At 50.6% G+C, this 26379-nt stretch overlaps 2 protein-coding genes across 13 annotated transcripts in view, besides 2 other annotated features; one reads left to right on the forward strand and one right to left on the reverse strand.

The window, feature by feature from the left end:
• LRRC43 (leucine rich repeat containing 43) overlaps window positions 1-26379 on the forward strand; it is a 35753-nt gene that overhangs the window by 3601 nt on the left and 5773 nt on the right. For 4 of the 12 annotated variants that reach the window (NM_001098519.2, XM_047428663.1, XM_047428660.1 and 1 more), the window contains exons 1-7: window positions 11804-11975; window positions 13200-13460; window positions 14871-14981; window positions 16382-16521; window positions 18811-19049; window positions 20061-20248; window positions 21426-21685. In NM_001098519.2, the coding sequence (NP_001091989.1) occupies window positions 11826-11975; window positions 13200-13460; window positions 14871-14981; window positions 16382-16521; window positions 18811-19049; window positions 20061-20248; window positions 21426-21685 (1349 nt within the window). In that variant the 5' untranslated portion in view covers window positions 11804-11825. The other 8 variants (XM_017019124.2, XM_047428662.1, XM_047428659.1 and 5 more) reach the window with 6 other exon arrangements.
• IL31 (interleukin 31) lies at window positions 710-2902 on the reverse strand. The gene is made up of 3 exons (NM_001014336.2): window positions 2838-2902; window positions 2525-2673; window positions 710-1422 (listed from the first exon to the last, which is right to left on the reverse strand). Exons 1-3 carry the CDS (start codon window positions 2851-2853, stop codon window positions 1093-1095), a joined length of 495 nt encoding a protein of 164 aa, NP_001014358.1. The 5' UTR covers window positions 2854-2902; the 3' UTR covers window positions 710-1092.
• Window positions 11832-11931: a silencer, noted in NCBI's record as "silent region_5010". NCBI's record gives its function as "represses an Ori minimal core promoter by ATAC-STARR-seq in GM12878 lymphoblastoid cells {active_cell/tissue: GM12878}" and the evidence as "EXISTENCE:reporter gene assay evidence [ECO:0000049][PMID:35858748]".
• Window positions 13525-13594: an enhancer, noted in NCBI's record as "active region_7209". NCBI's record gives its function as "activates an Ori minimal core promoter by ATAC-STARR-seq in GM12878 lymphoblastoid cells {active_cell/tissue: GM12878}" and the evidence as "EXISTENCE:reporter gene assay evidence [ECO:0000049][PMID:35858748]".

The raw sequence follows: 26379 nt of genomic DNA on the forward strand, positions 1-26379 counted from the left end.
ACCTATGAAAAGAGGATGGTGCTTAACATGACCTGGCATAAAGAAAATGCTCAATGAGTGTTTATTGCTGCTGAGGTCTTGCTTTGTCTCTGGAGTGAGTGGTGCTGTCCTAGCTCACTGCAGCCTCGAACTCCTGGGCTCAAGCAATCCTCCCACCTCAGCCTCCCAAGTAGCACACCACCATGTCTGGCTAATTTTTTTGTTTTGTTTTGGGTTGGTTTTTTTAGAGATGGGATCTTGCTATGTTGCCCAGGCTGGTCCGAAACTCTGGCCCCAAGCAGTCCTCCAGCCTTAGCTTCCCAAAGTGCTGGGATATCTGATCTGTGTTACAACCCTATGAGGCTGTGGCCATCACCATCGCCATTTCCAGACGAAACTAGCCACCGTGTACCACCAGGGTCATTATTTCTTTTCTCTTTCTTTTTTTTAAATAGAGATGGGGTCTCACTATGTTGCCCAGGCTGGTCTGGAACTCCTGGGCTCAAGTGATCCTCCTGCCTTTATCTCCCAAAGTGCTGGGATTGCAGGTGTGAGCCACAGTGCCTGGCTCAGGGTCATTATTTTTTATTGAGCCCGTCCAGTGGGAAGAAATGACAGTGGTAGAAGCGATACCTCTTTCTAGAGCATGTCCATCTGCCCTCTGCCACAACTCTACCCAGCTTGGAGTCCCATTTGCCAATGTCAAGCCCCTCACAAAATGTGTCACAGATTATGAGAAAAATTCAATATAATTTATTAAATAGATTCCGAGGGCTCCCCCAGGGAGCATTGACAACTCTTAGTACAATAAATATCAATAAATTAACATAGCTGCCACCTCCCACCCTCACGAGGGTATAATAAGTAAGACTTAAGCCTGCAGAAGAAAAGCATTCCATAAATACCAAGACTAATAACAATAACCTAATGTTTTTCAAGGTAATTCACAAATTCACATCTCAGCCCTCCCGGGACTAGCCCATATGAGGGGTCCCTGAGATTATTCATTGGAAAAATGTACTTAAGGAATCACGGCAGAGTTCCCACACTTAGCTGTCGGTCATCTTTTTAAGGCTCCTTAAGTTCCTGCCAATCCGAAAGGAAGAGATGGCCTTAAGTGGTGGCCTGTTGGGCTCCAGAGGTCAATGATTTTAGTGCGAGGTCCATGCACTCTGAAAACTGTTGAGAAATAGTCAGGATGAAGCGTTTACATTCATGGGTGTCTGTTGGCACAGAAATGTTTGTTTCTGGTGCATCTTGAAATATGAGTTTGTCGAGGTGCTCTATGATCTCATCAATAACAGATTTGTTGTCTAGCTGTCTGATTGTCTTGAGATATGCCCGGATGGCTGGGCTGTGGATGTTGTTTGGCGGCTGGGCGTCAGGGCTGAGACACGGCAGCGTGTAATTCTGGGACACGAGCACGCCCTTCTCTTCCTCCACCTGTGGAATGAGGAGAAATGGTCAGTGTTGGGTTTGCAATGACAGCTGCAAGTCTTAACAGTGAATGTTTGCATGCTTCCTCCGTAACCCGCCTCGTTGATATATTTATCTGATCAATGTCACAACCCTATGAGGCTGTGCCATCACCAACCCCATTTCCAGATGAAACTAGAGCTTAGGTGGCTGCAGTCCTGAAGCCTGTGCTCAGAACCACTGATCCATCCAGCTGAGGCCTCCCAGCCTTCCAGAACCCACTCTCACGTGCTCAGGGTGGTGGGAATTGCAGCACATCTGGCCTTCCATGGCAGCTCCCCGCCCTTTGGGACTCTGTGTTAAAGCCACGCACGCTCCACTTATAAAGGAGAGTGTTAGGCTTGTCCGGAAAGGCCTCCGAGATGCAGGCGAGAGTTTTCCCCAACAAACCAAGGAGTCCGGACCACTCCCTCCCTTCCTCTTTCTAAGTACTAACTAGAGTCAGACCAAATTGCCAGCAGCACCTCATCAACCTGAACTGCCCAGTCATCTTGGGTTGGTAACAACCTCTGCCTTTTATAAAAGCCAAGGCTAAGGTCTAAATACCAAGGCAGATGAGAAGAGTAATGCCAATTTTATGAATTGTTTCCAAGTTTGGGCATTTGTTTGTTTGATCAAAGCTATCTTGGCTGGGCACAGTGGCTCACGCCTGTAATCCCAGCACTTTGGGAGGCCAAGGCAGGCGGATCACTTGAGGTCAGGAGTTCAAGACCAGCCTGGCCAACGTGGAGAAACTCTGTCTCTACTAAAAATATGAAAATTAGCTGGGCGTGGTGGCGCATGCCTGTAGTCCCAGCTACTCGGGAGGCTGAGGCAGGAGAATCGCTTGAACCCAGGAAGCAGAGGTTGCAGTGAGCCAAGATTGCACCACTGCACTCCAGCCTGGGTGACAGAGTAAGACTCTGTCTCAAAAAAAAAAAAAAAGCCATCTTTGCCTGTCTAGTTTCCCCCATCCCTTCCTGGCATAGCTACAGCCCTGGTTTCAGGTCCGGAGAGAGGAGCCTCTTTGGAGGGCAATGGAAGGCATTTTTAAGAAATCGTTTAGAAAAGAAATCTCTAGGACACTCACATCTTTCAAAAGCATCTTCGAGAGGGACTGTAATTCCTCGACTATTTTCTGTACATCATCACTTGGTCGTAGTAAACGGACGGGCAACGTGTGGGAGGCCAGCCAGCCTCCCAGGCAGCAGAACAGAAAGAGCACAGACGTCGAGGGGCCTGGAGAGAGAACGATGCCGTGAGCGCATACATCACACACCCCTGCCCACCCTGGCTCCATCCCTGCAGCCCTGCTGAGCCAACCCTGGGGGTAGTGCTTCCAGAATCTTCCTGGTGAGATAAGATGATGCCCAAGACTCCGGAAGCACCAGGACCAGTGATACCTGAGTGAGAGGCCATGGCGAGAGAGAGCAAGGCCAGCTTCAGTGGGGGCTTCTGGAGCCAGATGTGTTCGCCATGGCTGCCTGGAGGTATATAAAGGGCCAGGGTGAGGAGAAAGAGCAGTCAGCGTCCCGCCCATGGCAAAACCATTTACTCAGCTTTTCTCCAGAAAACACTCAAAAGTTCTACTGGCCACGGCTGAGTGAAAGGGCTGAATGGAAATGCTGAGGTTACCCTCCAGGTGGGCAGATGCCTGACTCAGACACACACATACTTCACAAGAAGGCACATGAATGCATCTTTGCCATTCTTCTTGGAAGGAGCCTGTTGATTTGACTAGACAAAATTTTGAAGCCCAGGGTTGACAGACACGACCATACCACCAAGGAGCGGGTGACTTCCAGGAGTTCAAGGCCAGCGGCCACAGGGAATTTCTGGGGAGGAAATGCGAAGCCGGCATGAGATGTGCAGAATGCGGTATCTCTGGAAATTTCTGCAGCATATGCCCACGCCGGTGTGCAGGGACGGCCCCATAACTGCTGTGAATGTGGCGGGTCGAAGGCTTCATCTCAACTCCATGTGGCCTTGGACATCACTGGACTCTCCATCGTGCCTCTGCAATCTCAGGGCCCAGAACCAGAGACTGTGATCCAGAGTTATTGCTTGAAATCCTTGTTCATATCTTTTTTCTTTTTTTTTTTTTTGAGATGGAGTCTTGCTCTGTCACCCAGGCTGGAGTGCGGTGGCGTGATCACTGCAACCTCTGTCTCCTGGGCTCAAGCAATTCTCATGCCTCAGTCTCAGCCTCCCAAGTAGCTGGGACTACAGGCACGTGCCACCATGCCCAGCTAATTTTTGTATTTTTAGTAGAAATGGGGTTTCGCCATGTTGGTCAAGCTGGTCTCTAACTCCTGACCTCAGGTGATCTGCCTGCCTCGGCTTCCCAAAGTGCTGGAATTACAGGCATGAGCCACTGCGCCAGCCTAGAAACTTTATTGCTTTTCTTTCTTTCTTTCTTTCTTTCTTTTTTTTTGAGACAGAGTCTTGCTCTGTCGCCTGGGCTGGAGTGCAGTAGCGCAATCTCGGCTCACTGCAACCTCCACTTCCCAGGTTCAAGCAATTCTCTTGCCTCAGCCTCCTGAGTGGCTGGGATTACAGGCGCCCACCACCACGCACAGCTAATTTTTGTATTTTTAGTAGAGACGGGGTTCACTATGTTGGCCAGGCTGGTCTCAAACGCCTGACCTTGTGATCCACCTGCCTCCGCCTCTCAAAGTGCTGGGATTACAGGTGCGAGCCACCACTCTGGCCTTAGAAACTATTTCTAAGTTCATTAGCTTTCTTTTTCTTTCTTTTTTTTTTTTTTTGAGACAGGGTCTCATTCTGTCACCCAGGCCAGAGTGCAGTGGCATCATCACAACTCACGGCAGCCCCGATCCCCTGGGCTCAAGTGATCCTCCTACCTCAGCCTCCCAAATAGCTGGGACCACAGGCACAAATCACTATGCTAATTTTTTTTTTTCTTTTTTGAGACAGAGTTTCGCTCTTGTTGCCCAGGCTGGAGTGCAATAGCACGATCTCGGCTCACTGCAACCTCCGCCTCCTGGGTTCAAGCGATTCTCCTGCCTTAGCCTCCCGAGAAGCTGGGATTACAGGCACCCACCACCACGCCGGGCTAATTTTTGTATTTTTAGTAGAGACGGGGTTTCACCATGTTGGCCAGGCTGGCCTCTATCTCCTGACCTCAGGTGATCTGCCCGCCTCAGATTCCCAAACTGCTGGGATTATAGGCATGAGCGACTGCACCCGGCCTCCTTATTCATATTTTAGTGCCAGCTTTGATCAGGCCATTTTATAGGGTATCGGGAATAGCGGTGAAGAAGTTAGAGTTCCTGCCCTTGTGGGCCCGTCATTGCTGTGGGCTGCGGACAATAGCAACAACATTCATAAATAAGCTAGAAAGCACTGTGACGGTTGGAGAGTGACGGGCAGGATACTTTAAGTCAGGTGATCAGCAAAAGTCTCTCTGAGAGGTGACATTGAAGAAGAGACTGAAAGACAAGAAGGAGCCAGTTGTGGGAAGACCTGGGAGAAGAGTGTTCCAAGGCAACGGGACAGGAGTGCAAAATCCTCAGGTGAAAATGAGCTCGATGCTGTTCCTAGAACGGGAAGAGGGTCATGGCAGCCACAGTGACGCGAGAGGACAGGAGGGTAGTGGGGAGGTGGGCAGCGGCTCCATCACAGAGGCCTGAGGCTGGGACAAAGAGCCTGGGTTTTATTCCACATGTGACGAGGCAGTGCTGGGCGGCTTTCAGTAGGGAAACATAAGATCAGATGCACTTTATTTTTTTCTTTTCTTAATTGTTTTGTCTTTTGTTTTGTTTTTTTTTTTGGAGAGAAGATCTCAAGCGATCCTCCCACCTTGGCTTCCCAAAGTTCTGGGATTACAGGCATGAGTCACCATGCCTAGCCCTGATGAACTTTATTTATTAGTAGTAGTAGCATTTTTTTTTTTCTTAAGACAGAGTCTCACTTTGTCGCACAGGCAGGAGTGAAGTGGCGCAATCTCAGCTCACTGCAACCTCCACCTCCCCTGTTCAAGCAATTCTCGTGCCTCAGCCTCCTGAGTAGCTGGGATCACAGGCATGTACCACCATGCCTGGCTAATTCTTGTATTTTTAGTAGAGATGGAGTTTCACCATGTTGGGATGAGGTCAGTCTGGGCAGCCCACAGAACTCAAGGTGCACAGAGGGGACACAGCCAGGAAGCCCTCCCACCCATCATCCCAAGTCCCCCTGCCGCCAGCCACCACTGACTTTTTCTTTACTTCCCAAACTGCCACAATATGGCTTTCACCACCCCACTAATGTAATCAATATCCTCTAGCAGAGTCCATGGTAGGCATGACCTTCATCCACAGGTGTTTACTGCCATAATTATGTTGCATTGCATGGCAAAAGGGGTTTTGTGGATGTAGTCATGATTACTATTCAGTTTACCTAAAATAGAGAGATTTTCCTGCATTCCCTGGGCCTCCCCAATGCAATCCCATGAGCCCATAAAGCAGAAGAGGAAGTCAGAGAGATTACGAGCAAGAGAAGGGCTCACCTGCTGTTGCTGGCTTGAAGATGGTGGGGGGCAGCGTGGAAAGCACGAGAAGGAAATAATTTGGTCAATAACCACTGAGCTTGGAAGAGGATGCTGAGACCTAGATGAGAACCCTAGCCAGCCAGCACCTTTATTTCAGCTCAGTGAGTTCCTGAGCAAAGAATCTATCCATGGCATGCTAGACTTTGACCTACAAACTCTATGAGAGAGAAAGTGTGTGTGTGTGTGTGTGTGTGTGTGTGTGTGTGTGTGTGTTTAATAGAAAGGATCTTGCTCTCTCACCCAGGCTGGAGTGAAGTGGTGTGATCACGGCTCACTGCAGCCTTGACCTCCCAGACTCAAGCAGCCCTCTTACCCCAGCCTCCCAAGTAGTTGGGACTGTAGGCCTGCACCACCATGCCTGGCTAATTTTTCTATTTTTTGTAGCGATGGGATCTCACCATGTTGCCCAGGTTGGTGTTGAACTCCTGGGCTCAAGCAGTCCTGCCTCACCTTCCCAAAGTGCTGGGATCACAGGCGTGAGCCACTGCGCCTGGCCACCTTTGTGGTTTTATTTATTTATTTATTTATTTATTTATTTATTTATTATTTTGAGATGGAGTGTGGCTCTGTTGCCCAGGATGGAGTGCAGTGGCATGATCTTGGCTCACTGCAACCTCTGCCTCCTGGGTTCAAGAGATTCTCCTGTCTCAGCCTCCCAAGTAACTGGGATTACAGGTACGTGCCACCATGCCTGGTTAATTTTTGTATTTTTTGTAGAGACAGGGTTTTGCCATGTTGTCCAGGCTGGTCTTGAACTCCTGACCTCAAGTGATCCACCCACCTTGGCCTCCCAAGGTGCTAGGATTACAAGTGGGAGCCACCACGCCTGGCTGCATTTGTGGTTTTAAACTGCTGTTTGTGATATTTGTTATGGCAGCAATAGAGAACTAATACAGTACCCAGAGACCACATGTCAGCCTTACTGGGGTTTCAGCCTTCATTTTACATGACCCCTCTATAGCATGAAACATTGCCAACCACTTCCACCTTCTTGACAACCTCTCGTAACAACCTCTCCTGTAACAACGTCATCCTGATCCCTTTTGCCCCTCTCCCTAGCTCCACGGTGTCCACCCGTGATCTGGATTCCTCACACTTTACTGTCTGTCTCCTTCACACTCCAGACCTAAATGTCCACCTGAATGTCCCAGTGATACCTCAAAATCAACATGCCCAAAGGTGAGGGTGAGAAGAGGGTAATAGTGATAGTGGAGATGAAGAGGTGTGGATGGGTTGTAGAAATGTTTAGGAGGAAAAATACGTAAGAGGTGGCTTTCTTTTTTTTTTTTTTTTTTTTTTTTTTTGAGACATTGTCTTGCTCTGTCACCTGGCCTGGAGTGCAGTGGCATGATCTCGGCTCACCACAACCTCTGCCTCCCGGGTTCAAGCGATTGTCCTGCCTCAGCCTCTTGAGTAGCCGGGATTACAGGCGTGAGCCACCACTCTTGGCGTTTTTTTGTTTGTTTGTTTTTCTTGTATTTTTAGTAGAGATGGGGTTTTTTCATGTTGGCCAGGCTGGTCTTGAACTCCTGACCTTGTGATCCACCTGCCTCGGCCTCCCAAGGTGCTGGGATTATAGGCGTGAGCCATGGTGCCTGGCCAGGGTGGTGTTTGATTGGATATGGGGATGGTGGAGAGGGAAGAGTTGAGGACAACCTCTGGGTTTCTGGTTTGAGCAACTGGATAAATGATATTGGTACAAACGAAGAGGATCACAGGCCTCAGGCCTTTGGGGCTCGGGTGAGGTGATGAATTCTGGCTCTTTGCTTGTTGGTTGGCTGGTTTGGTTTGGTTTTCTTTTCTTTAAGAGGCAAGGTCTCAGTCTGTCACCTAGGCTAGAGTGCAGTGGTGTGATCACAGCTCACTGCAGCCTCAAACTCCCAGGCTCAAGAGATCCTTCCGCCTCAGCCTCCTGAGTAGCTGGGGTTATAGGCACACGGCATACCACCAGGCCTGGCTAACTTTTTAATTTTAACTTTTTGTAGAAATAAGATCCTCCTCTATTGCCTAGGCTGGTCTTAAACTCCGGGGCTCAAGCAATCCACTCACCTTGGCCTCCCAAAGTGCTGCGACTGTAGGTGCAAGCCACGTGCCCGGCCTGATTCAGCTTTTGACACAGTGAATGGGAAGTGTTATGGATGCTCAGCTGAAGACACACAGTAGGCTGTTGGACGTGTGGATCTGAAGCGTGTAGGAAGGAACTACAGATGTAAATGTGGGTGCCATCAAGGTATTGTGGCAGATAAAACTGTAAGCCAGTAAGAGATGAGCAGTGTGAGGTGTGGAAGTCGTGTGGAGCCCTGGGACATGCTTCCATTAACAGGACAAGGAGAAGATGATGATTTAATCTAGAACATGGAGAAGGCACTCTCAAGAGAAAAAGAAGGCTGGGTGCGGTGGCTCACACCTGTAATCCCAGCACTTTGGGAGGCCGAGGCGGGCGGATCACGAGGTCAAAAGGTCGAGACCATCCTGGCCAACATGGTGAAACCCTGTCTACTAAAAATACAAAAAAATTAGCTGGGTGTGGTGGCGCGTGTCTGTAGTCCCAGCTACTCAGGAGGCTGAGGCAGGAGAATTGCTTGAACCCAGAAGGTGGAGGTTGCGGTGAGCCGAGATTGCGCCACTGAACTCCAGCCTCGTGACAGAGTGAGACTCCGTCTCAAAAAAAAAAAAAAAAAAAGAGAGAGAGAAAGAAAAGTAACACCAGAAATACATGTTGTCATGGAATAAGATGAAAAGCAGTTTTTCAAGGAGGAAATGGTTGGCATCATCAAAAGCCATGAAGAGGTCAAATAAGATAAAGGCTGAGGAGATTCACTAGATTGGGCAACATGAGGTCACAGAAACTTTGCTGGGAGAGTTTGAATAAATTTTTGGTGTGGCAGTTATATTGTGGTGGTTTGGGAAGTGAGGAAAAAGTGAGCATAGGCCAGGGGCGAGTGGCTCACACCTGTAATCCCAGCACTTTGGGAGGCCAAGGCAGGTGGATCACTTGAGGTCAGGAGTTCGAGACCAGCCTGACCAGCATGGAGAAACCCTGTCTCTACTAAAAATACAAAAACTAGCTGGGCATGGTGGCGGGAGCCTGCAATCCCAGCTACTCAGAAGGCTGAGGCAGGAGAATTGCTTGAACCCAGGAGGCGGAGGTTGCAGTGAGCCAAGATTGCGCCACTGCACTCCAGCCTGGGCAACAGAGCAAAACTCCGTCTCAAAAGAAAAGAAAAAAAGAAAAAGTGAGTATAGACCACTGTGTCAAGAAGCTTGGATGAGAAGGAAGAGAAAAGAGACAGTGTTGGCTGCAGGGGGACTTGGGATGAAGGGTGGAAGGGCTTCCTGGCTGGGCCTCTTCTGTGTATCTTGGGCTCTGTGGTCTGCCCAGACCTGACCTCATTCCTGAGCTCTTACTCCTAACCAATGGCTGATTTGACACAGTAGACGCCCATTGGCATCTGGACCTTAACTTGTTCCAAACAGGATGCTTGATTTCCCCTCTCAGTCTTCTCTTCCTTCACTGCACATTGTCCATCTGTTGCTCCATCAAAATTGCAGGAGCCATATCTGTGATTCATCTCCTTGATTTATTTATATCACTATGGACTCATAGATATTTATTTTATTCTTTGAGAGCCAGGCATGGTGGCTCACGCCTGTGATCTCAGCACTTTGGGAGGCTGAGGTGGGTGGATCACTTGAGGTCAGGAATTCGAGACCAGCCTGGGCAACATGGCGAAACCCCATCTGTACTAAAAATACAAAAAAATTAGCCAGGCATGGTGATGCATGCCTGTAGTCCCAGCCACTCAGGAGGCTGAGGTGGGAGGACCGCTTCAGTTCAGGAGGTCCAGGCTTCAGTGACCTGTGATCACGCTACTGCACAGTAGCCTGGATAACAAAGGGAGACCCTGCCTCAAAAAAAAAAAAGGATATTTTCTTCTTTGAAAGGACATATGGTTGGCTGGGCCCGGTGGCTCATGCATGTAATCCCAGCACTTTGAGAGGCTGAGGTGGGCGGATGACGAGGTCAGGAGATCGAGACCATCCTGACTAACACGGTGAAACCCCGTCTCTACTAAAAATACAAAAAATTAGCCGGGCTTGGTGGCGGGCGCCTGTAGTCCCAGCTACTCAGGAGGCTGAGGCAGGAGAATGGCGTGAACCTGGCAGGCGGAGCTTGCAGTGAGCCGAGATTGCACCACTGCACTCCAGCCTGGACGGCAGAGGGAGACTCCGTCTCAAAAAAAAAAAAAGGAAAAGAAAGGACATATGGTCATCTTTTTGCCTTAACTCCCAGTTTTGGATAAATTTTTTTTTTTTTTTGAGACAGTCTCACTCTGTTGCCCAGGCTGGAGTGCAGTGATGTGATCTCGGCTCACTGCAACCTCCGCCTCCTGGGTTCAAGCAATTCTCCTGCCTCAGCCTCCGAAGTAGCTGGGACTATAGGCATGTGTCACCACGCCTGGCTAATTTTTGTATTTTTAGTAGAGACGGGGTTTCACCATGTTGATCAGGCTGGTCTCGAACTCCTGACCTCAGGTGATCCACCCACCTCAGCCTCCCAAAGTGCTGGGTTTACAGGGGTGAGCCATCGCGCCCAGCCTAATTTTTCTAATAACAGTAAAGTTGTCCCGATATCGTATAGTCAAAAAGAATGAGAGATGTTAATGTGTTCCTCCAAAATTCATTTGTCAGAACCTGATGCCCAGTGTGATAGTATTAAAACGTGGGGCCCTTTGGGAAGTGATTAAGTTTGGGGGCTCCTCAGGAATGGGATCAATGTCCTTATAAAAGAAGCTTCATGGCTGGGCGTGGTGGCTCACGCCTGTAATCCCAACACTTTGGGAGGCTGAGGCCAGTGGATTGCCTGAGCCCAGGAGTTTGAGACCAACCTGGGCAACATGGTGAAACTCCATCTCTACTAAAATACAAAAAATTAGGCTGGGTGCGGTGGCTCACGTATGTAATCCCAGCACTTGGGGAGACCGAGGTGGGTGGATCACCTGAGGTCAGGAGTTCGAGACCAGCCTGGCCAACATGGTGAAACCCCGTCTCTACTAAAAATACACATTAGCGGGGCGTTGTGGCAGGCGGTTGTAATCCCAGCTACTCGGGAGGCTGAGGCAGGAGAATCGGTTGAATCTGGGAGGCGGAGGTTGCAGTGAGCCGAGATCGCGCCATTGCACTCCAGCCTGGACAACAAGAGTGAAACTCGGTCTCAAAAAAAAAAAAAAAAAAAAAAAAGCCGGAAGTGGTCATGCGCGCCTGTAATCCCAGCTACTCGGGAGGCTGAGGCAGGAGAATCGCTTGAACCCGGGACACGGAGATTGCGGTGAGCTGAGATCTCGCCACTGGACTCCAGCCTGGGCGACAGAGCGAGACTCTGTCTCAATAAAATAAAATAAATAAAAAATTTAAAAAATGAGGTCTGGGTGATTAAACAGTTATACAGGTGGACAGTGATAAAATCCCTGACTCCAGGGTTAGAGAGACCACCCTGGAACCCACTGGCTGGTTGGAGTCGAGATGTTTGACCTTGGGCCCTCTTCTCCTTTCTCCATCTGTCAGATGGGTATAGGATGACTTTCCGTGGGGAGTGCTTGACAGGAGCTAAGAAACAGGTCAGCTATGGCGCTTACTGCCTGCGGGAGCTGCCGCACTTAGAACCACCAGCTGTTATCCCATTTTTATAGATGAGGGCAGAAGAGAAAACGCAGGTGGTTGGGGCCAGGCTGTCTGATCCGGATGGGGGACTTTTCCCTCGGGGCAGGTGAGAGCGCCTGGAGAGGCCCCTGCCCCCGCGCACGCGTCCTAGCGGTTGCCGGGCAACGCGGCCCGGGCCATGGAGGCGTCGTACGAGTCCGAGTCCGAGTCCGAGTCTGAGGCCGGGCCTGGGACTCAGCGGCCCGGGACCGGGACCGTGAGCGCGGCCGTGCGCGAGCACTTGCGGAAGCTGTGTCTGCGCGAGTTCCCGTGCGGTGCCGGCAGCTGGGTGCGGGCGCCGGGGCCGGAACTCTGGGGGCCTGGACCGGCTGCGGGGAGGCACGGGCCCGGGCGAGCGGAGCGGGCTGGTCCCTGGGGCCTGGGATCTGCGCATTCTGGGGGCCGCCGACATGGGGGCGGGTGGGGCTTGAGGGTGACGGTGGGGCCCGAGTCGCGGGCACTGCGCGGGGAGGAGAGCGGGGCCCGTCCTGAGCACATCAGCTGACCTGGGCTGGGGCCTCTCCCTGACTTGAAGACGTCAACACCCCAGATTTCTAGTGGGCAGGCTCCTTTTGGGGTGAAAAGCTTTTGTTTTGGGCAAAGAGTTCCACAACTTTTCCCAGCCTCCGAGCATTTAATAAGAGCCTGAGGCAGTGTGAGAGGTGGCTCAGCCTGAAGCCTGCGACCTTGAGTCCAGGAGAAGGGGTTACCCCCCATCCTGCCTCCCTGTCTCCAGAGTCCTAGACCCTTCCCTCCCGTGGCTTCAACCACGAGGGGCGCCCAGGTGTGGCCCAGGAAGGCTTACTGCCCAGGCTGGAGCATAGTGACGCGATGTCGACTTACTGCAACCTCCGCCTCCCAAGTAGCAGGGATTACAGGCACCTGCCACCATGCCCGGCTAATTATTGTATTTTTAGTAGAGACAGGATTTCACCATGTTGCCCAGGCTGGTCTCAAACTCCTGACCTCAAGTGATCCACCTGCCTTTTTAAAAGGAATGGCACCTTTTAATTATTTTGTATCTCACCTCATCTGTAGTTATATCCATGGCTAATAATCCATCAAAATTATTGATTATTCACTGTCTAGATTTTTTTTTTTTTTTTTGAGACGGAGTCTCGCTCTGTCACCCAGCCTGGAGTGCAGTGGCGTGATCTCGGCTCACTGCAACCTCCGCCTCCCGGGTTCAAACGATTCTCCTGCCTTAGCCTCCCGAGTAGCTGAGACTACAGTTGCGTGCCACCACGCCCGGCTAATTTTTTGTATTTTTAGTCGAGACGGGGTTTCACCGTGTTAGCCAGGATGGCCTCGATCTCTTGACCTCATGATCCGCCTGCCTCAGCCTCCCAAAGTGCTGGGATTACAGGCATGAGCCACCGCACCTGGCCTACTCTCTAGATTTCTAAACTCTATCCCTAATCGTCCAGTTTTATGATCTGTTCTGTTTTGAGAGTTTGGTGTCCTTAAGGGGGCTGTGTCACACCTACAGAAAATCCCTCCTCTGCCACTGCAGAATAAGTCGCGCTTTCTTCCTCAAACTTGGCGAACTTGGAGGGAGCTTGTCCCCAGAGAGGAGGATGTGGTGAGCCCCGGAGAGGAGACGGTGGAGGCCCTGCTGGGCCTGGTCCGCAGCCGCCACTCCCCCTGGGCTCTGCTGAACAACTCGAATGCAGAAGACAGTTTCCTGAGAGAATTGGCCATCCGGAACCCGCTGACGATCACAGACACCTTCTTCTACTCCTACTTCCGGTCCCTGCGGGTAATAGACAAGAAGGTCAGTGCTGGGCACGTGGTAGGTGATGTTAGGGTGGCCGCTCCCCTAAGGGAGGTTGTGGGGAGGGCACCCTTCCCCACAGCGCGTCAGGGATCCTGCTTTCAGGGCTGAAACGAAGGCCAGCCTGCCCTCCATCTGCTTCATCTCCCTGGCTTGTGTGCCAGGCAGGGCCGGCTACTCGGTCAGCCTTGCGTTTCTTCTTCCTTTACCCCTGGAAGCCATCATGGCACAGCTTCCACCCCTGAGTTCTGCAGTGGACCCTCCTGGGTCCTAGTAAAGGTTTTTTGAAGGGTCTGTGTTAGTTTTACTTCGTTTAAACCGTGGGGGTCAGGGTAGGGGAAGGTTGGTGTAGTTCTATTTTAATTTGTTACCAAAAAGCATTCTTTGTTTACATCAGTAGCAGAGCCCAGTCTCGGCATGGTGGCTCTCTGGTGCTTGTAATCTCAGCACTTTGGGAGGCTGAGGCAGGAGGATCGTGTGAGTCTAGGTGTTAGAGGCCCAGCCTGGGCAACATAGTGGGATCCCACCTCTGTAACATCTTTAAATTTAGCCAGGTATGGTGGTGCACGCCTGTAGCCCCAGCTACTCAGAGGCTTAGGCAGGAGAATCACTTGAGGTGGGGAGGTAGAGGCTGCAGTGATCATGATCGCACCGCTGCACTCCAGCCTGGGTGACAGAATGAGACCCTGTCTCAATCAATTAAGCAAGCAAGCAAACAAGAGTGAGACTCTGTCTCAATAAATAAATAAAGCCAGCAAGCCAGCCCAAAAATTGCCTGGAAACTTGGTCTCAGCCTTCCCAACCCTTGGCTTTCTTTTTCCAGAGCCACTGGGAAGTGACACGGCACTAGGGGACAAATAGGGTGACTGACTGGTAGCAGTTTGCCAGGGACTTTCAGTTTCAGTGCAGAAGGTTTCGTGTCCTGGACAGACTGGCACAGTTGGTGGCCCTGGAGAAGCGAGGCCCCGCTGGGAAGGGCCCTGATGTCTTTGAGGTCACAGGAACTGAGGAGTCACGGATGGGTCACTGCAGCTTCTGGTCGGACCCTGCTCTGGGTGATTCCTGGACACCTTGACTGACTTCAGTGCCCAGAGTTCACTGTGGCTCTGGGGTAGACAGAAAGGAGAGAGGTTCCTGCCCTCGCAGGTGGCTTATGGTCCAACAAAGGACACAGGTCATTGGCCTAGAAATCATGCACCACCTATGGTCAGAGGAAGGATGGAGGTTGGGAGAGGCTCTTGGATCCTGGCAGAGCGATGCAGTGCAGGAACGGCTTCCGGGGAGCAGGGGGTGGGAAGGGAGGGGAAGTAACTCTGATGGAGGAGCCGCTGTCTTCCTAATGTGGACATGGGTTCTGTGCCCGTGCTCCCTCTCCTGCTACAGCCCTCAGCTTCCTCTCCCCTCTTCCAGGTCACCCTGGTGGATAAAGACCTCCTGAAATTTCTAAAGCTGGAGGAGTTGGTACTGAGCGCCAATCGAATCAAGGAGGTGGATGCCACCAATCTGCCCCCCACACTCAAGGTGAAGGAGCCCCGGTCTGTGTTGAGTATTTGGGCCTCCGCTGCCCAGAGGCCTTGCCTTACCCTGCCCCACATAGTGTGGCCAGCATGGGTGGAGGGTAAGGCCCAGCTCCAGGCTTTTAAAATGTAGGTCACTTTCCTAGAAAAGTTCAACATAGAATAACCATATGACCCAGTGCTTCCATTCCTAGGTGTATCCATGAAGGAACTGAAGACAGGGATTTAGCCAGATTCTTGTACTCCAGAGTTCAGAGCTGCGTTACTCACAATAGCAGAAGGGTGGACACAACTCAAGGGTCTATAAACAGATGAATGGATAAACAAAAAAATGTGGACAGGCCAGGCGCGGTGGCTCACACCTGTAATCCCAGCACTTTGGGAGGCCGAGGCAGGTGGATCACCTGAGGTCAGGAGTTTGAGACCAGCCTGGCCAACATGGCGAAACCCCATCTCTACTAAAAATACAAAAATTAGCCGGGTGTGGTGGCATGCGCCTGTAGTCCCAGCTGCTTGGGAGGCTGAGACAGGAGAATTGCTTGAACCCAGGAGGCAAGGGTTGCAGTGAGCCGAGACTGTGCCACTGCACTCCAGTCTGGGCGACAGAGTGACTCCATCTCAAAGTGGTCTATCCATTCAATAGAATGCTATTCACTCATAGAAAGGAATGAAGTAGGCCTGAATCCCAGCACTCTGGGAGGCTGAGGTGGGCAGATTGCCTGTTCTCAGGAATTCAAAACCAGCCTGGGCAACATAGGAATATCCCCTCTACAAAAATACAAAAATTAGCCAGGCGTCGTGGCTGGTGCCTGTAATAGCAGCTACTCAGGAGGCTGAGGCAGGAGAATCGCTTGAACCCAGGAGGCGGAGGTTGCAGTGAGCCAAGATTGTGCCACTGCACTCCAGCCTGGGCAACAGAGCGAGACTCCACCTCAAAATAATAATAAATAAACAATAAATAAATAAAAATTAAAAAAACCCAAACCAACAAGCAAACAACAACAAAAAAAGGTGGGTGAGGCCGTGGATAAGAACTACAAGCAAGGAAGGTTAGCTTTGGATTTATTCCTTATCCATCTAGGAGCCCTTTTGGCCTCCCAGAGACGCATTCCTATGGGTTGAGAAGGTGCCAGATGTTATGCAGCTCCCCCACTGCCAATCCAGCATCACCCCCCATTCCAGATGTTGAAGTGTCTTTCACAAAAGGAAAAGAAACTTCCCAAGACCTGCTGCAGGAATCTTTTCTTCCTGGGTTTTTAAAAGGGAGTCGGGGTGGTGCCAGGGAGGCCAGGTGTGAGTAGTTTGTGATTCCTCTACTAAGTTTTGCGGGACAGAGGGGAGGGGCCTGATCCTCAGCGCTGACTTGGGGCCCCATCGTCCCGGGCCTTCCGTGTGGTCTCCCAGGTGCTGGAGCTCTACGGCAATGAGATCAGCAGCATGGAGTGTCTGTGTGCCCACCCACCCGCCGGCCTGCAGCACTTGGGGTTAGGCCACAACAAACTTCTAGGCCCCTTGGAAAGTCTCTACGTCACCGCTAATCACTGGTAACTCGGGAGCCCAGATGGAAAGTGAGAGGGAGGGATTAAGTATCAGGTTGGGGCGATTCTACCCCAGTGGCTTGAGAACTCAGCTTTGGTCTTTTTTGTAACTCCCAGTTGGCTGCTAAATCCAGACTTATGGTTTATTTCTCTGAATCCCCCTTCAGTGGGATTTTGTAAACAAAAAGCCCGGGGAAGGAGAACAAGAGGTAGTAGGTGTGAGTCAGAGCCTTTGCTTTGGTGCCGTATTTTAATTTTTTAATTTTTTTATCTTATTTTTTTATTTTTTTGAGACAGCATCTCGCTTTGTCGCCCAGGCTGGAGCGCATTGGCGCCATCTCTGCTCATTGCAAGCTCCGCCTGCCGGGTTCACGCCATTCTCCTGCCTCAGCCTCCCGAGTAGCTGGGACTACAGGCACCCGCCACCATGCCCGGCTAATTATTTTGTATTTTTAGTAGAGACGGGGTTTCACTGTGTTAGCCAGGATGGTCTCCATCTCCTGACCTCGTGATCCGCCCGTCTCGGCCTCCCAAAGTGCTGGGATTACAGGCGTGAGCCACTGTGCCCGGCCTAATTTTTTTATTTTAATTTTTTTATTTTAATTTTTTATTTTAATTTTTTTTTGAGATGGAGTTTCACTCTGTTGCCCAGGCTAGAGTGCTGTGCGTGATCTCGGCTCACTGCAACCTCCACCTCCCAGGGTCAAGCAATTCTCCTGCCTCAGCCTCCCAAGTAGCGGGTATTACAGGCACCCACCACCACACCTGGCTAATTTTTGTATTTTTAGTAGAGACGGGGTTTCACCATGTTGGCCAGGATGGTCTCGAACTCCTGACCTCAAGTGATCCACTTACTTTGGCCTCCCAAAGTGCTGGGATTACAGGCGTGAGCCACCGCACTTGGCCTGGTGCCGTATTTTAGAGGAGGGTTGCTCACCTTGGGCTCGTTGGCATCGGAACCCCATCACCCTTTGATGTGGGGCTGTCCTGGGCATGGTGGGATATTGAGCAGCATACCTGGCCTGCACCCGCAGATGCCAGGAGCACTTCCCCATTAGTTGTGACAAACAAAAATGTCTCCAGACAGTTTTTGTCTGAGCCTGATGTCCCCTGAGCAGCAAAATCCCCCCAAGCTGAGAACCACCACCCTGGAACCAAGCCCTAGCGCCAGCCGCTCCATCGCTATTGAAGGTTCAGGCTCATTAGGAGCCTGCAGATGGTTCAGCTCCCAGTTGATATTCAACTTGATCTCCTCAGTGGGTGAGCGGTAGAAAACTTAACATCCTGGACCTGAGGGGTAGGAGGGGATCAGAGACCACCCAGAAAAAGCCATCAAAGGAAGCTGGGAGAGGAAGGCTTTGCAAAACATGCTGTGAGAAGTCCCAGGACTTCAGCAGCCCAGCAAGGATGGAAGGGGTAGAACCACCTCCCCTCTCTCCTTCCCCCGAGGAACCTGGAGGGCATGCCCTTGGGGGGTCCAACCCTCTACATGCCTGGAGCGGGCGGACGCAGCAGGGAAGGGAAGCCCCCTCTCTGACCCTGGTTTCCTCTTCCTCCCCTTCTCTTCTGCTCTTAGGGGAAGAGTGAGGCTGGGATTGGGAGATGCTGTGCTGACAGCGGCCGCTTGTGTTTTTCTTCTGTTCTCAGAGCCGAGATCAATTTGCTTTCTAGTTTGTGGCAGCAGGAAAGTCACCCTGCCCCTGCCCTGTGTCTTGGTCTGGCCACAGGCCTTGGCCCGTGCTCTTTGCAGGCCCCTCCCAGGCCCCTTTCCTCCTGGGGTCCCGCCCCAGTCTGGCTTTGAGAAGCCATCTCCTGCTTCTAGACCGCCCAGCCCTCCAGCCTCTGGCTCCCTCCTCCCACTCCCCAGCATCAACCCCACTCCTGCCCTGTCCACTCCTGCCCTGTCCACAACTCCCCCACGGTGGCTGTCCCCTGCTGTGCCGTCCAGTCTGCCTGTACTATTTGTGCAGAGCCTCCTAGACGCACGCAGTGCGCGAGGCTCTGTGGAAGCTACTGAGAGGTTTGGCCAAGAAGAGAGGAGCCCCGTGAAGGGAGGTCGGTGGGGGCGTCTCTGTGACTCCAACTGTGAGGGTGGCAGTGCTACGGAGAGTGGAGATGAAGAGCCAGGCACTCGTTCCCGACCCGGGGTTAACTTGGGTCAAGGGTAGGACAGGGGTGCAGGCCGTGGATGGGCAGAATCCTTAGCCCCAGGCTCCCCGTCCGTTTTGGCCACAGGCTGCTTGCCCCCTGCTCACCTGGCTTCTTGACCCCCAGACGGTCCTGCTCACCTTCCAGGCCCAACCTCGTCTCCCTGGACCTGGGCTTCAACGACCTGACAGACCTGCAGAGCATGGTCACCAGCCTGAGGACCCTCCGGCACCTGCGACTCCTGGTGCTGCAGGGAAACCCACTGGCCTTGGTGCCCTACTACCGCGGCCTCACCATCGACAGCCTGGCCCAGCTCTGCGTGCTGGACGACATCACCGTGTCTCCCAATGAGAAGCATCTCTTCCGGGGGCTCAGCCTCAATGGCGGTGAGGGTACTGGCATGCAGGGAGGGGGTGGCATGTGACACCCCAGCCTGCGCCTGGCTGTGCCCCGCCCTCCTGGGTCCGTGTACCCGTCTGTCCTGCAACTCCCCATTTGACCCAGACCCTATTCAGGTATAGCCTCTCTTCTGGGTCAGAGCTTTCCACCAGGCTTTGATTCCTGTGATTGGGATTTGGAGACAGAAGTGATAGGGGGAGGCCGGGCGCGGTGGCTAACGCCTGTAATCCCAGCATTTTGGGAGGCTGAAGCAGACAGATCGCTTGAAGTCAGGAGTTTGAGACCAGCCTGGCCAACATGGTGAAACCTCGTCTGTACTAAAAATACAAAAATTAGCCAGGCATGGTGGCAAGTGCCTGTAATCCCAGCTACTCAGGAGGCTGAGGCACGAGAATCTTTTGAACCCGGGAGGTGGAGGCTGCAGTGAGCCGAGATGACACCAGTGTACTCTAGCCTAGGTGACAGAGCAAGACAAAAAAAAAAAAGGTGGTGTGGGAGGATCACTTGAGCCCAGGAGGTGGAGGCTGCAGTGAGCTATCATCTCACCACTGCACTCTAGCCTGGCGACAGAGCGAGACCCCGTCTCTAAAAAAAATAAAAAGTCAAAACAACCTGTGGGGACTTGGGACAGTTATTTCAATCAGCTTCTTCACCTCCCTGGTGGCTTGAGATCACCCCCTTGTGGTTCATGCCGCAAGGTGCACCGGAGGCTTCTCCAGGTCACTGTGACGTGCTAGATAATGCTAAGGTGACCTGCAGAGTAGCCCTTATCACTCCCATATACAGATCAGGAAAACAAGGCTGAAGAGGGGTATAATGACACCTGGATCACTCCAGGCCAGCTTGCCAGAGCTGTGACATGAACCTGACCGCCCCACCAAGGCTCAGCCCTGAGTGCTGGAGAGAATCTAGGGACCCGTGCCTTCCCAGCCCTCTTGCTTTCTATCTGCCAACTTCCATTCCATGGGCCCCCCTGTCCTGCCCATTCCTCCCTGCAGATCTCTTGGCACAGGAGGCGCAGTTTGTGGTGACCATCGGAAACATCAGAGGAGTCCTGGACACCTCTGTCTTAGACCCGGAACCCAGGCCCGAAGGCCCTTTCATCACTTACAACTATTACGTGACCTATGATTTTGTGAAAGATGAAGAAGGCGAAATGAATGAGTCCGCGGGCGTCCTGGCCGAGGTGTGCCCTGGTCTGTCCCTAGGAGTATGGGGGGCTCTTGTGAAGGCTGAACTGCTTTGTGGGCCCCAGGAAAATCCTTTTAATTAATTAATTAATTTATTTATTGAGGAGGAGTCTCGCTCTGTCACCCAGGCTGGAGTGCGATGGCGTAATCTCAGCTCACTGTAACCTCTGCCTCCTGGGTTCAAGCAATTCTCCTGCCTCAGATCCCCAGTAGCTGGAATTACAGGTCCCCACCACTAGGCCCAGCTAATTTTTGTATTTTTAGTAGAGATGAGATTTCACCTTGTTGACCAGGCTGGTCTGGAACTCCTGAGCTCAAGTGATCCTCGGCCTCCCAAAGTGCTGGGATTACAGGTGTGAGCCACCGCGCTGGCCAAGAAAGATTCTTAATGTGGAATCTGGTGATTCATGCAAGGACCTGGCTTCAGCTCAGCCTCTTTCTTGCAGCTAGAGCAATTTTCAACCATGCACACTCCCCTTGCCCCCTTAAAATCTGAGCCTAACAAGAGAGCCACCCGGCATTTCATAAGTCAGCCCCTTGTTCCCAGCCCCATTCTGCAATTTATTTCTTTTTTGTGTGTGTGTGTGATGGAGTCTCGCTCTGTCGCTCAGGCTGGAGTGCAGTGGCGCAATCTCGGCTGACTGCAACCTCTGCCTCTGGGTTCAAGTGATTCTCCTGCCTCAGCCTCCTGAGTAGCTGGGATTACAGGCTCGCGCCACCATACCTGGCTCATTTTTTGTATTTTTAGTAGAGATGGGGTTTCACCATGTTAGCCAGGATGGCCTGGATCTCCTGACCTCGTGATCCGCCTGCCTCGGCCTCCCAAAGTACTGGGATTACAGGCGTGAGCCACCGCGCCTAGCCCCATTCTGCAATTTCTACAACTCCTCCCATCTCCCTCCACATCAGAAGAAAACCCAAGGATACCATCCAACCAGGAGAAACCTGTCTCCTCCTCCCACATAGAAGTGGTTCTTGCTTTTACTCTTAATGTAGGTCTTTCAGAAAAGACAAAAGTGGGTTTCTAAGCGCCTTCCTGCCTCCTAGCGTGGTGTGTCTGCTCATGCGTGAACCTCATCCAGATGTCGGGAGCTGTGTTACAGACACCCCCGGCATCAGCTGAGCACATCCTGAAGACGGCAGCCTTGGACGAGTTTCTGTCTCTTCCTGCAGATCGTCAAGCCCTCTCCCAGCTTAGAATTATTAGTTGAGGAATCTCCTGAAGAGGTCGTGGAAGACGTCATCGAAGACATTGTTGAAGAGGTTACTGAAGAGGTCGAAGGGTCTCTGGAGTCTGAGGTGGAGGAGTCAGGAGAGTCGGAGCTGTCTGTCATCTCGGGGCCTTCGACCATCTTGCAGATGCCGAGGGCCTCTGCAGAAGAGCTGGCCAAGTTGAGGCTGCGTATAGATCCCCGGCTCTGCCCGTCCCCAGGGTAAGGATGGAAATCTGAACCAGGGCAAGTGGTCAGAGCAGTAGGGTCACGAGCCTAGACCACACTGCGACCTTCCATTAAAAGTCCTGAGGCTGGCGGGGCGCGGTGGCTCACGTCTGTAATCCCGGCACTTTGGGAGGCAGAGGCGGGCGGATCACGAGGTCAGGAGATCGAGACCATCCTGGCTAACATGGTGAAACCCCGTCTCTACTAAAAATACGAAAAAATTAGCCAGGCGTGGTGGCAGGCGCCTGTAGTCCCAGCTACTCGGGAGGCTGAGGCAGGAGAATGTCGTGAACCCAGGAGGCGGGGCTTGCAGTGAGCCGAGATCGTGCCACTGCGCTCCAGCCCGGCGACAGAGCGAGACTCCGTCTCATAAAAAAAAAAAAAAAAAAAAAAAAAAAAGGCCCACTAGACTGTTAGCTGTGCTGGCGGCATTTAGATTTCGTGTTCAGCCCTCTTCTCTGGAGGGTTCAACTTAGCTAAATCCTTCTACTCTAACCATCTACTCAAAGTACAACTGAGTCCCACTTCCCTGACCAGCCAAGATTTTCGGAATGATTGAATTTCTTTTTTGGCGGGGACAGTCTCACTCTGTCACCCAGGCTGGAGTGCAGTGGTGCGATCTCAGCTTACTGCATCCTCCATCTCCCGGATTCAAGCAATTCTTGTGCCTCAGCCTACAGTTGGGACTACAGGCATGTGCTACCATGCCCAGCTAATTTTTATAGTTTTAGTAAAGATGGGGTTTCACCATGTTGACCAGGCTGGTCTTGAGCTCCTGGTCTCAAGTGATCTGCCCGCCTCAGCCTCCCAAAGTGCTGGGATTACAGGCGTCAGCCATCGCGCCCAGCCTGAATTTCTTGAGTCGATCGAGACATGATAAATTAATAGCCCTTTTCATTTCAGCCCTTGGGTGTGAAAACCTTTTTTGGTTTAACATTTTAATCCATCTAAGATGTATTCTCACACATAAAGTGCTGTAAGGATCTTCCATCCTGTATACCATGTTCTTTCTTGCCAGTCTAGCTCCATTCCTTCTCTCTTTTTTGTGCTACTTTTGTTATGAAGATTGTAGAGTAATTGTTATAAATATTAATTTTATTATAAACATAAATATGTTACAGACCCAACAATACATTGTTATAATTACTGCTTTATATAATCCATGTCTTGCAGAGAAGAAAGGAGAGCACAAATATAAAGTTGTTTTTTTTTTTAAGCTTGTTAACCTTCTTAGTTACCATTTCTGGGGAACCATGAATTCATGTCTTCCTTTAGAATTGATTTACTGTTGTGGCTCATGCCTGTAATCCCAGCACTTTGGGAGGCTGAGGTGGACAGATCACCTCAGGAGGTCGAGACCCGCCTGACCAACATGGTGAAACACCATCTCTACTAAATACAAAAAATTAGCCAGGAGTGGTGACTAATCCCAGCTGTAATCCCAGCTACTTAGGCTGGGGCAGGAGAATTGCTTGAACCCAGGAGGCAGAGGTTGCGGTGAGCCAGGATTGCACCATTCCACTCCACCCTGGGCAATAAGAAAGAAGCTCCGTCTCAAAAAAAAAAAAAAGAAAAGAAAAGAAAAAAGGATTTACTTTCTGGTTTCATTCCCTCCCTCCCTCTTTCTTCCTTTCTCTCTTTTTTGTGGTGGGGTCTCTCGATGTTGACCAGGTTGGTCTTGAACTCCTGATCTCAAGCAATCCTACTGCCTCAGCCTCCCAAAGTGCTGCAATTACAGATGTGGGGCACTATGCCTGGGCTTGGTGTCATTTTCTTGCTCCAGTATGCTTCATTCTCACCCCCATTTCCTTCATGTTGTTATGGTCAAATATATTACATTTCTACATGTTATAGCCCAAACTACAATTTTATAGATGTTGTCTTATGCTATTGCATTTTATTCTAATTAGAACCAAGGACAAGAAATATATGACTATACTGTCTTTTGTATTTGCCTACATGATTACCTTTATTGGTGATCTTTGTTTTTTATGTGAATTTGAATTACCCTCTGGTGTTACTTCCTTTCAGCCTGAAGAACTTCCTTCAGGAAGTTAATGTATTCATGTATTCAACTTCTTTTCATGTTTCGTGTAAGGCAAATCTACTGGCAACAAAGTCAGTTTTTTCTTTCTCTTCATATGTCTTTATTTCACCTGCAATTTTCAAAGATAGTTTTGCTGGGTCTAGAATTGTTGGTTGACAGTTTTGGTGTTTTTCTTTTCCCCTGCTACCCCAGAACATTTTTTTTTTTTTGAGAGGGAGTCTCGCCCTGTTGCCCAGGGTGGAGTGCCGTGGCTGGATCTTGGCTCACTGCAACCTTTGCTTCCTGGGTTCAAGCAATTCTCCTGCCTCAGCCTCCCAAGTAGCTGGGATTACAGGCACCTACTACCATGCCCAGCTGATTTTTAGTTGAGGCGGGGTTTCACAGTGTTGGCCAGGCTGGTCTTGAACTCCTGAGCTCAAGTGGTCCATCCGCCTCAGCCTCCCAAAATGCTGAGATTACAGGTGTGAGCCACCATGCCTGGCCTACCCTAGAACTTTGAATATGTCGCCAGCCTGCCTACTGGCCTCCATTGTTTCTGATGAAAACTCAGCTGTTCATCTTATTGGGATTCCTTTGTCTGTCATGAGTCATTTTTCTCTTCCTGCTTTCAGGATTTTCACTTTGTCTTTCAGCATTTTTACTATGATGTCTCTGGGTATGGATGTGTTTGCATTTATCCTGCCTGGAGTTTGCCAAGCTTCTTCAATATATAGATGAACGTTTTAAATCAAATTTTGGAAGTTTTCAGCCGTTATCCTTCAAGTATTTTTCTCTGTTCCTTTTTCTATCTCCTCTCCTTCTAGCACTTCTATTATGTGTTCTTCTAGTAGCTCTTCAGAAAACCCAAGGGAAACCTGGAGTGTTTACCAGGGGCCCACCTCCTTGGAGGGCTTTGAACACAAATTTTTGTTCCCCTAGCGCCCATGAGGTTGCCTAAAGTTCTCTTTAGCTTCTCAGCCACCACTTTTGGATTTGGCTCTTGAGCATTAATGTGGCACTAAGCTCATTCTCTTTGACTGTTCCCCTTTGCCCTGATGTTGGCCCTGAAAATTCTCAGTGACTTGGCTCTTCAGCACCTTCAACAGATAATGTTAATATTGTGTCAAGCTGATATGACTGTTCTCAGCAGGAAGGTTTGTCCAGTATAGTCTAGTCTACCACGTCCTAAAACAGAATTTCCACATTGATTTTCTAAACATACATTTTATTTTTGCAGTCTAATAGATTTATTTTAAATTGTCTTAAGTTATATTCCTTAGTTTACTTGTAAGCCTTTATATTTTCCATACAATTATTTGCCATATGTAATTTCCCAAGTTCAACAATTAGCAAACGCCAGTCATCCACATACCATTTCCAGGTGCAGGTGTGATGCCAGGTATCGGGATTACAAACAACAAATCAGATGGAAAATGGTCTGTTCTAGAGGGCTGGGCACAGTGGCTCATGCCTGTAATCCCAGCAGTTTGGGAGGCCGAGGCAGGCAGATCACTTGAGGTCAGGAGTTTGAGATCAGTCTGGCCAACATGGTGAAACCCTGTATCTGCTAAAAATATAAAAAATTATCTGGGCATGGTGGCACATGCCTGTAATCCCAGCTACTCAGGAGGCCGAGGCAGAAGAATCACTGGAACCCGGAAGGTGGAGGTGGCAGTGAGCCGAGATTGCACCACTGCACTCCAGCCTGGGAAGACTCTGTCTCAAAAAAAAAAAAAAATCTGTTCTATTTGGGCACTTACCTTTTCATGAGGGAAATGAACAAACAGTAATTACATATGTTAATGTCACAAGTGGTACGTCAGAGGAAGTACAGGACAAATCTCTGCCCCTAGGATGGGCACATAGACTTAGAAAGTGTGGGAAACACATTCACCCATCCAAACCCAAAGAACAGACTCAGAGACACGAAGAACAGCGGAAATGAGACTTTTCATGGCAGTTTTGGAAGATCAGGTGTCTGGTAGGCAGGAACACTGGGGCAGTCACGACAGGTCATTTATCTCCTAGTGGGCAAGTCCCTCCCCCAGTTCCTCATTGGTCAAGTACTATGGGGTTACAATCTTCCTGGGTGTCGCCCAAGTATCATTATCCCCTAATAAGGTCATACCCCGTCTCCTTCCCCACTTAAGTTTTGCTCTTGTCGCCCAGGCTAGAGTACAGTGGTGTGATCTTGGCTCACTGCAACCTCTGGCTCCTGGGTTCAAGCAATTCTCCTGCCTTAGCCTCTGAAGTAGCTGGGATTACAGATGCATGTCACCACCCCTGGCCAATTTTTTTTTTGTATTTTTAGTAGAGACAGAGTTTCACTACGTTGGCCAGGCTGGTCTCAAACTTCTGACCTCAGGTGATCCACCCACCTTAGCCTCCCAAGTGCTGGGATTACAGGTGTGAGCCACCGCGCCTGGCCCCCTTTCATGGGCTGACCCCTCCTCTACATCCTGTTCGCTAAGTGTGACTTTCTAGGTGCCTGAGTCGTGAGGTTCGTCACGTCCGCAAGGTTGGCTGCCAGTACTCAGATTTTTTATGCCTTGAAAATGGACCATTTAAACTGTTTCTCACAGGAGGCATGGTAGAAAGAAGGTTAACTATGGAGGAAGGCAGGGATTGGCAAGAGATAGGGCTGCAGAGAGACAGAGAAAAA

Source organism: Homo sapiens, chromosome 12 (assembly GCF_000001405.40).
Source record: "Homo sapiens chromosome 12, GRCh38.p14 Primary Assembly".
NCBI classification, from domain to species: domain Eukaryota; kingdom Metazoa; phylum Chordata; class Mammalia; order Primates; family Hominidae; genus Homo; species Homo sapiens.